This window comes from Homo sapiens, chromosome 2 (assembly GCF_000001405.40).
Source record: "Homo sapiens chromosome 2, GRCh38.p14 Primary Assembly".
NCBI classification, from domain to species: domain Eukaryota; kingdom Metazoa; phylum Chordata; class Mammalia; order Primates; family Hominidae; genus Homo; species Homo sapiens.
The window spans coordinates 224165408-224176602 of record NC_000002.12 but is presented as its reverse complement, the minus strand read 5'-3'; the positions used below and the strand labels follow the sequence as shown (position 1 = coordinate 224176602).

The 11195-nt window shown below is 40.1% G+C and overlaps 1 pseudogene; it reads right to left on the bottom strand.

Moving 5' to 3' along the window:
• Window positions 1-4865: 4865 nt before the first annotated feature.
• Window positions 4866-5887, bottom strand: USP21P1 (USP21 pseudogene 1; annotated as a pseudogene).

Here is an 11195-nt window from a genome sequence, read left to right as displayed (position 1 = left end):
AGTTTCCTCTTCTGTGAAGTGAGGGCAAAATACCTGTACCTGATTCATAGGATTGTGGAGAACATTAAAGTAGATGATGCCTGTAAATGCTTAGCACAGGGCCTGGGACATATTTAAGATCTCAGCAAATGTTAGGATAGCTTTTAAGACTCCCTGGGTTGCAGGTTATAAGACCTAAATTGAAAGAATTTAATGGAATTTAATGGAAAAAGGAGAATTAAAAGAGCAGGGATGTCTTACAGAACACAAAGCAAGAACTTAGCTCAGTGGATCTCAACTGGGGGTAATTCTGCCCTCCAGGGGACACTGGCAATGTCTGGAAACATTTTTAGTTGTCACAGCTGGGGAGGTGCTATTGGCATCTAGTGGGAAGAGGCCAGGGATGGTGTTCAATATCTTACAATGCCCAGGACAGCCCCCACGTCAAAGAATTATCTGGCCCCAAATGTCAAGAGTGCTGCTTGTGAGAACCCTCCAGGCTAGAGACTGCAGAGTCACATGGACCCTCAAGGCCACATCTGTCCGTGTGTCCTGGCCATTGAACTTTTATCTCTTGGCTCCAAACACACCCTTCTTAACTCTTCTTTGTGATGCTTCAGCTAGGTCTCTACAAATCACTTTTTTTTCCCCTCGCTAACTGGTTCCATGCCAGGCTTTATGGAGGGGAAGGGATGCTAGAGAGAATCTGCCAGGCTGAAGGAGGGAGAAGGGACTACTTGCTACCTTGTCCCTAGTTGTCTGGCTGTTGCTGACTGTATCACCTATCACAGGTCTTTGCCCCAGCAGCAGCATCTGGTTCCTGTTTCCAGCTTTGTCCTGCACACCCATAACCCGCCTCATGGTGACCCTTTGGAGACACCAGCTGCAGCTGGCCAGCGCCCTCTTCCTGGGCCTCCATCTGTGGGGACTTCCTGTCAGTTTCAGAGGCACCAACACCAGCCAATGGTACTCCTCCTTCAGAGGTCTGAGTCTCAGCTCTTCATGTTTCTTTTCCAAACCTCCAGGTTCTGGTAACTTCCTCCATTTGTTCCCCTAGCCCTAAGAATGTGAGCTGCTTCCTGAAGTTACTATCTCTGTAAAACTTCCATGTTCCCTGTTTGCCACTACAGCCCCCAAAGCCTTTTAACCAAGTGGCATTATTAACTCTTCTGTTAAAATAGCTGGTGTAGTTTCTGTTTTCCTGACTGAACCTGACCGATATATACAGCACATCTACTTCATTCTTCTTTTTCACAGAGTGGTTTCACTGCTCAGCTCCCTGTCCCGTGGTTCCAGAGTTTAGATAGTGCAGGTTTAGCCACTTGAAGAGAGCGAATCTCTCTCAGTCCCATTACAAATAACTGAGAAAGTAAATCTAATTGGCCCAGCTTGAGTCATGTGTCCACCCTTGTCCAATCAGCTCTGGCAGAGGGGGAGGCCATGTTGTACAAAACGGCAGCCGCTTCTTCTCAGTTCAGGTCAAGGGTTTAGTAGGCAATTAATTTCCAGCTTTTTGAAACTCCTGAGTTTGTCCACTTAAAATATTTATTGTTAGTTGTAGTTGTGTTATCAAAGAGGTACCCTCGAAATGGCTCTCAGTAAGTTATCATTAAATAATGGCCTTTTTGCATTTTCCTATTTCGTCTTAACAGAAAGTTGGGAGGTGGTATCTTTTAGAAAAGAGGATGCAAACTCATAGATAGCCTGAGAAATATGACATATGAGATTTGCCTTGGAGCCCTCATATTCGTTTTCTGAGCCTATATTTAAACAGATCTTAAGGCTAATTTAAATGCAGATTTTAAAGAGGACTAAACAAAATATGATTTCTAATGGGCTTATGAGTCCCAAATACTGAGTTTTTAAAATGGTTAGATAAGTGATGTAAGATTATAGTCCTCAAAAGCTTCCCCTGGCCTTGGGGCTTATAGAAAGGGATCTGGATTGAGAGGCTAAAGCCATAGGTTTAAATCCTATCTACAAAACACATGCCTCAAGCAATCTCTCTAAGCATCAGTTTTCTCAGCCATTGTGGATTTTATGCTCAACCTCACAGAGCTGGAGTCATGATTAAATAAAATAATATCTGTGGAAGCTTTGAACAGAATGTCTAGAACTAGAGCCTTCATAACTGTGAGTTCTATTCCTTCTGTGTCCCGCAGCGTGTTTCTGAACAAAAAAGAATGAACACAAGTGAAGACTTTGTAGTAACACTAAAACATAGACCTGTTACTCCAAAGATGCCAAATGCCCCTTGTACATGGCCTTACTCTGTCTCCAATCCTTATATTCAAGATATCATCAGTCCCCATAGACTGGCAGCTGGACAGACAGGGGCCAAGGGGCACAAGTGTCTGGCTAAGAACACAAGCTCTGAAGTCACAACCACCTGTTTTCAAATCCATGCTGCTAACACTAGCTGTAGGACTTGGGGCAAATTACTTCCGCTTCATCCATCAAATGGGACTAATAATGACAGTAGCTTTGTCAACATTCTCGTTATGAGGAATGAGTGAGATCAACCATATAAAAGCACTTAGCTCAGTGAGTGCCTGTTACTTAGGAAACATTTAATAGCAGTGGGCTTTGCTTAGCTCTTATGATTGTCTTCTGTCAGTAAGCCTTTGGGAATTCAATGATAAAGGCAAAACGGTCCTATTAGATAAAGGAACTGGAAGGTTTTAAAGGCATATGGACTTCTTAATTTCAGAGGCATTCAATTTAATGCCTTTCTCTTGTAGCTGGAAAATATTTCTGCGTTTCTTGCTGTTACAATGTGCTCCAGGATCACTCTTTCAATGGGGTCCCTGGTTGACATTGACTGAGATGTCAGGTTCCTTACTTGGCACCGTGCAGTTCTCTTTTTGTCGAAAGCTCTATTGAGAGATTTCCTGAGGTTTGGGTGTTGTTAATAAGGAGGTCAGAGCCTATCTGGGGATGTGTGACCATGGGCTATATAGAGTCCCTCTGTGAATTGAGAAGAGCCACGTTGAACACACTGCATGACAACTATTCCAGGACTGCCTTAGGTTTGCAGACTTATGTTAAAAATAGCCTCCAATGAGACAGTGGTCTTAGAAAAATATGCAAAAAAAAAAAAAGATAGGTTACAATTATGGCAAATGCTTAGTATTGAATGTCTGATGAAAGAAAATTCTCTTCATATTTAGGATACAAATGACTCTTTTATGTCCATCATCAGGGAAATGGATAAATTGTGCCTTTTCAAAAAACAATTATATACAGCACTAAAAATAAATGAACAATAGGTTATTTTGAATATGGATGACTCACAAGCATAATACTGAGTGAAAAAGGAAGTTGCAAAAGAAATCAATTCTTTAAAAAATGGCATACAATTTTCTAAAGTTTCCAAGCAAACAAAACTGATTAAATAATATATTACTTCAGGAAGCGTGCTTATGCAGTACATCTATGAAGAAAGTAAAAAGATAACTTTTTCCAATTTGAGAAATTCCTTTTTTAAAAAAAGAATTTTTTAAGATAGTGTGATATATTCATACAAAGAAAAAAGAACAAATTACCCATGCATGCAAAAATGTGAATGAATGTCACAGACATTGTGCTGAGACAGAAGTGAGACATAAGAGTCCACACTGTATAATTCCATTTATATAAAGTTCAATAACTAGTAGATCTACTCTATAGGGTTAGAGATCAATATAATAGTTTTCTCCCTGGGATGGGGCGAGGGGTAGAGGTGAGGTATTCACTGGAAACGACCTGAGAGTACCTCTGAGATGATTCTATTTCCTGATCTAGGTTATGGTTACATGAATATTTACATATGTAAAAATTACCCTAAGTTATTCCTAAATTTTAAAAGTAATTAAAATGATGATAGTAGTGCATGATTTTTGAAAATTTGATGTCCTTTTGCTAACATGAAAATAAACAACCAGGTGGGGCACGGTGGCTTATGACTGTTATCCCAGCACTTTTGGACACTCAGGTGGGAGGATTGCTTGAGCCCAGGAGTTTGACACCAGTCTGGGTAATGAAGTGAGACTTTTTCTCTAGAAAAAATTTTAAAAATTTTCCAGCTGTGGTGGCACATGGTTATAGTCCCAGCTACCTGGGAGGCTGAGGTAGGAGGATCATTTGAGCCTAGGAAGTTGAGGATGCAGTGAGCCATGATTGCACCACTGCACCGCAGCCTGGACAACAGAGTGAGACCCTGACTCAAAAAAAAAGGCACCCTCCATAGTCACTACCATTTTATTTTGTTATTCTGTTGGCTCATGATATCACAAATGAACCCCTGCTCTAACCTGTTGAATTTTTTATAGCACCTAATCTATCCTTCCTTATTTATATGACATCTCTTCTCTATCAGACTATAAAAAAACAGGAGAACAGAATCCATGTCCCACAGATCCCAAACTGTACACTGAGGCACCCCAGGGTGCCACAGCAAATTCATAGGGTTGCTATGGGATATTTTAAATTTTCTAGAGAAACACAGCATCTGGTCAGATACCACATGAACTCCTGGCTCAAAGGTGTTGAGGTTCAAATTTATATTATGCTACATTCTTTTTCATAATGTCATATTTTTGGCAAAGTTGAATTTAGTGGTCACTATCTTAAAATGCAAGTAAGCATGCAGTATGGAATGGAAAATGAGGGTGGTGGTATCCAATCTGATTCTAAGGTTTGAGAATTTGTGCAGTGACCAACATGCACATAAATCCCATTTGTAAGTAACGGTGGTTATTTACAAATAAAATAAAAATACTTTTTTCAAAGTATGTTTTTCAATTTTAAATACATTTCAAATTTTAAGTACTTTTTTTTCACAAAAAATGAGATTACAGAGGGTCTGGGGGCTGTACATGTGCAGGGGCCTGGTGAGCTCTGTACATGGGACTGGGAGACCAGGGATCCTCCACTTGGAAAGGTACTTTTTAATTTGAAAAAATATATAATGGGAGCTACAACCACCCTCTCCCCACTCTCTGACTTAAAAGACACAAAAATAGATGTCTCTGAGATATATGGGGAGCCTGGGGCTTAAGGGTGTTTAAAGGGCTTCACAGGGGCCAGGGCTTAGAGGGGGTGTCACAGGCACTGGGGTGGCTCCTGCGTCAGTTGGTAGAACAGTAGGCTTCACTGGATGCCACCTGGTTTTCACTTACAGGGGAGACACAAGAGTCATTGTAAACGTGCCAACCAGTCTGGCACTGGCACAGGGTTGTGTAGTGGCCACAGTGGATGCTGCCTGAGTGGTTCCAAAGGGCACACAGCTGGTAGACAGGACTTCCGACTTTGTCACTGGCAAAGTCCCCTAGGCTCAGTCACTGCAGTGGGAAGTCTACACCTACAGAACTTTTCTTGATGGAGCCTCAGGAGGCAGAAAATTGATTCAGATGGAGCATGAAGATTCAAGGGAATCTTTGTACTGTCAACTTTTGGCACCATGTGTTTTCTGCCAATGTGGGTCACACACTGAGGCATTCTCTAACTCTAGCTCTTCTTCCTTGGTGAAAAGGCTTAAACAATCCCGCAGAGACACCTTGCCCCCAGCAAATCCTTTCTTGGGGATGGTCAGGGAGAGGTCACAAAAAAAAAAAACCTTGAAGGTCATAGAGTGGTACCCACAGGCCTGGCACTTGAGATAACTTTTCATCTGGCCCACAAACAGATCCACCATCTTGCTGTCCTCTTGTTCTTCCAGATAACGCTTCCACATTAGGTTGGCCCAGTCAGCATCATTTAACTCAGACTCTTTTAGCAGAGCACTCCCCTTGGTGGGGTGGAGAGGGAGCTGGACCATGGGCAGGGACTGGTGGAGCCCCGCGGCCTCCGTGGTTGATTTCAAGGTGTAGCCGCTCCCATAAGGAATGTCAGGAACTCTTGGGTATCCTGCTGGCTGTATCCAGAGAAGAATGTTTTTCAAATGTCTACCAAATTGTTAATCCATATGTACTTCTTAAGTTGTTTAAGCCTAATTGTTAAAAAAAAAAAAAAAAAGAACTGTTAGTTATTACTCTCAGACTGGTGGAGCCATAAAAATAGTACTAACAGACTAGGGGTGCTGTGACCAAGAAAGTTCAAGAACCCTGCCATGACTCATTGTAAATAACACGTAAACACAAACACAGTCATACACGTGCTAGTCACCCAGCGCAGGGTCTGATATGAAATGACTTTTTTTTTTTTTTTTTCTTTTTGAGATGGAGTCTCGCTCTGTCGCCCAGGCTGGAGTGCAGTGGTGCCATCTCGGCTCACTGCAAGCTCCGCCTCCCGAGTAGCTGGGACTACAGGCACCCACCACCACACCCGGCTAATTTTTTGTATTTTTAGTAGAGATGGGGTTTCACCGTGTTTGCCAGGATGGTCTCGATCTCCTGAACTCGTGATCTGCCCACCTCGGCCTCCCAAAGTGCTGGGATTAAAGGCGTGAGCCACCACGCCCAGCTATGAAATGACTTCTTAACAAACGTACTGAGGAATCAGTGGATGAATGAGGAAGCAGGGCTCCTCTGGCTTATCTTCTCATGCCTGGTTATGTGTTCAAATTGGCCATCTCAGCGTGCAGCTCTCTTAGTGAATAACTCCCTTCCAGCCTTCCATTGCACAGGCTGGGGACAAGAAAATGGAAGCTAGGTGAGGTCCTGGATCACTGGGGTACCGCTCTGGGCACACAGGAAATCAAGTGAGCATGACAGAGATTGAAGGCTTAAGGCTGAGGGAGAAGCTTGCATCCAAGACAGGTGACTGGGAACACACGAGAAAACCTGAGAACAAAAACACAAAGGCAGCTGAGAGGGGCAGAGGGAGAGGCTGAACAAAAGGGCAGGGAGGTGTGAGAGGAGACAAGAACAGGAGGCAAAGCCTGGCAGAGGCGTGAAGTGAGACACGGAAGAACCAGAAGGTCAAGTCATTGAGTTTGAATGTCATTGAGATTTCTTGAAGAAAAAGAGTAGGTTGGATGATGTGGTCAGTGTCTTGGGAAAGAAATGTCATTTTAGCACAAATGTTTGCAATGAAGCAACAAGGATACCAAGGTCACTTGGTTAATACGTAGCTTGGAGAGCTCCCAGATGGGCTTTCAGCAGGGTTTGAGAAGAATTCAGAAGCATGACGGAGACCTGAGGTAGATTCATCTAAGGGAATCATCCATTATGTTAGAAAGGTTGCAAGTGAAGGAAAACAGTACATGTTTTCTCTTTAGGCTGAAAAGTTCTACACTAAACTGTCTCCTTCAAATGAGGCTAGAGAACATGGTCTGATAGGGTTCACCTTTAGATTATCCATGGAGCAAGAGGGATGTGGCTCGAATATAAAAATCTGCTGTCACACAGATTATGTCTGCTGAACAATGGCTCCGGATGGCACACCAGACTGGCAGGTGGCTCTGCCTGCAAGACTCATACCAAGTTTTGTCTCATTCTGTCTTTAAGAGAGTTCATTCATTTTGCATTGCCACTCAAATTTTAATGTAGATCATATTTCAGTGTTATCTCTATGTGATCATACCATTTAAAATAAAGTATTTGCATCTGTTTGAACTTGGAACATTTTAGAACTTCATGTCAGACCTTTATTCTTAGTTGAACCATTATTCTCTCCACGTATAAGTTCTATTTATTCTGAAGTCCCCGTTATCTTTTTACTAGTTCTTTGAGGTTGTATTGTATCATGGTCTTTTTGGTGTCCTGAAAGAGAATGATATCAATGTAGTCAGTATCATCAAGAAATGCTCAAGAGGCAGCTGAGATTGGTGAAATTCACTAGACGAAGATCAAATCCCAAGTCTATCATACATTAGCTGTGACTTTGGCCCAGTTAGGTTACCTCTCTGAACATCTGCTCCTCCATCCATGAAATGACAAGGCAACAGTGACTGCAGGTAGAGTATGAGCTTGAGTTTCCCACAAACCTGTGTATGAATTCTGGGCCTACCATTTACTAACACCCTGAACCCAAGGAAGTGATTCACCTGAGTCCAAATTTCACCTTGTATAAAATAAGAATAATGAGGTTTTCCTCATGGGGTTAATAAGATAAATGAACGCAATTATAAATAGAACTGCTAATTGTCTTGTTTTGAACCCCACTGACTAGGATTTGAGTGCTCCCTTTATGAAAAACAAATGAGATTTTTTAAAGTAGGGCATATATATATATGTATGTATGTTAAGTGTTATAGTTATCTTGTGATGCCATGACTTAGGTGCAATTATGTCTACTTACTCTCTAAGTTTATGCGTTACTACAGTGATTTGCAAATTAGATGTAAAGTATGGGACTTGATTCCACACAAATTCGGGTGTGAAAGGCAGACGTGGCTGGCTCTGTGCAGCAAAGCACCCTTCAGAACTGTCAGCACACAGGATGTAATTATGAAATAATGCTCAATACTTTTATTGTATAAACATAGGGGCAGGTCAGTATTGGGTTTTGTATTAGTTTGTTTTCACACTACTATAAAGATACTACCTGAGACTGGGTAATTTATGAAGAGAAGAGGTTTAACTGACTCACAGTTCTGCATGGCTGGGGAGGCCTTAGGAAACTTACAATCATGGTGGAAGGCAAAGGGGAAGCAAGGCACATCTTACATGGCAGCAGGAGAGAGTGTGCACAGGGCAAAACTGCCACTTAAAACCATCAGATCTCATGAAAACTCCCTCACTATCATGAGAACAGCATGGGGGAAACCACCCCCATGATCCAGTCACCTCCCACCAGGTACTTCCCTGGACACCTGGGAATTACAATTCAAGATGAGATTTGAGTGGGGACACAGAGCCAAACTATATCAGGTCTACTTTCATCTTTTACATTTATTCAGCAATTTTGTTTTTGTGATTCTTTATCCTTAAACTTCATCTTTTATTATCCTTAAACTTCATCCCTTATTATAAAAGTAATACATACTTACTGAAAAAATTAAGATAGTGCAAATGATTTTAAAAATCACCTGTGATATCATGGTGAGAAATAACCACTACTAACATTTTGGTGTATAAATTCCTGTGTGTGTGTGTGCACGTATAAGTGGATATAAATAATATTTCACTGTAAACACAAGTTTTCAAGCTATATTTTTTCAGGTAACATTTTTTATTTTGATACAATACACATAAAATTTACCATTTTAACTATTTAAAAGTGTGCAATTCAGTGGCATCAAGTACATTCATAATGTTGTGCAACCATTATCACTATTCTAGTTCTAGAACTTTTTCATCACCCTAAAAAGAAACGCCATACACAATTAGCAGTCACCCCCCCTCCCCATTTCTCACACCCCTAGCCCATAGCAATCATTAATCTGCCTTCTGTTTTTATGGATTTATCTATTCTAGGTGTTTCATACAAATGGAATAAAAAATGTGTGATTTTGCATCTGGCTTCTTTCACTTCACTTAGCATGGTGTTTTCAAGGTACATCCATACTGTAGCATGTATCAATACTTTAATTCATTCATGGATGAATAATATTCCATTGTATGGACATATAATATATTGTTTATCCATTCATTAGCTGATGGGCATTTGGGTTCTTTCAACCTTTTGGCTTTTGCAAATAATGCTTTTATGAACATTTACCTACAAGTTTTTGTTTGACTACCTGTTTTACTCCTATACCTACGAGTGGAATTTCACGTAACATTTTATCATGAACATTTTTCTAGGTCATTAAAAATTCTTCTGCAATGTCTTTCCACATAGCTGCAGAAAGTTTCATTGCATGGCTTTACCAAAATTTATTTCACAATCCCCTATTGCTGGATATTTCATTTGCTCCAAAATTTTCAACATTGTAAGTCATGTTTTAGCTCTGTGGGACTCTTGATTGTTATCATTTTTCAGCACTTTCTATGGACCAGACCTGCCTAGGGGACTGTGTTTCTAATATATCTAAATCTCACAACAATCTTAAAAGATATACAGTGTTATTCTGATCTTACAGGTGAGAAAACTGAAACAAAAAAGACACATGTGGATGTGATATTAATGCTTGAGTCTGGATCAGAACCCAGGCCTATCTGTTTCCAATGCCTGAATACGTTCCATTAAGTTCCATTTACTTAGGGTAAAGTTCTAGTTAAGGAGTTATAAATCAAAGAACATGCAAAATTTTAAATTATTTGTTGCAGAACTTTAAAAAAACAAGACACTTTCGGTAACTTCATCAACCTTGAATCAAGAATTGTAAAGATTTAATTTGGTTTCAAAGTACAATAAAAAAAAGATGCTATAATCTCTGGCATGAAAGCCATATACAAATTGCAGAAAAATGAGCTTCTTGTTTATGTAGATCATAAATTTACTGCCACAGCACAAATGTGAATCTAAGAGGTCTCAAACTGTAGAAGGAACGGCTAGAATTCACCATATCATGCTCTGAATCTTTTGCACTTGTCTGATCGTGATAAATCCTTTGATGAGTAATTCAAATCTGGAGGTTGTCAATGTGAAAAGAAAGGGGCTCCCTCCAAATTTTCTCTGGGAGGAGAGTTGGTATTTTGGACATGATGTTCATATCTCTCAACAGAATGTCATTTTTTGATAAGTGGAAATGTGTTTTCCACAGGGAATCTGCTGCTCTATGTAAGAACTAGTTTTATAATTGCTCTAACTTCTGTATTGAATACCAGACTGAAAAAAATTTTTTGTGCTATGAGTAATCTTGGTTTAATGGCTATAACAGAACCAGTCCTGAATCAGTAAAAACCAAACTCTGTGGTTTGTTGGAGGTTTTTTAAAAAATTACACTTATTTGGTAATAAAAGGAATGTAAATGCAGATTTCCATCATTAAATGTTCCATAAGATAAACAATCTTTACTCGATAAATTGATTCCAGCTAGTAATTTTGTTAAAACTGACAACCCTATATCAATGTCTAGTACAATGCCTGTCCTCTTAGTAATTATTAATTTAATTCCCTGCATTGATTTATAAAAGTAGTGAGATTAAAATTTATTTATTCTGGTAATAAATATGTATTGAGCACCTACTGTCTTAAATTATTAGACACATCAATGAACAAAACAACTCCCTATCCTCATGGAGGTTAATATCTAGACCAGGTATCAGGGATGGGTGGAGGATACTAATGAGACCAAAACAAAAAAATGCTAAAACAAAGAAAAAGCAAAATAAGGGACAGAATGTAACAGTGAGGATAACTTTCAACCAAAGACCTGAAGTGAGAGAGTGATGCTCTTTGATGATGGA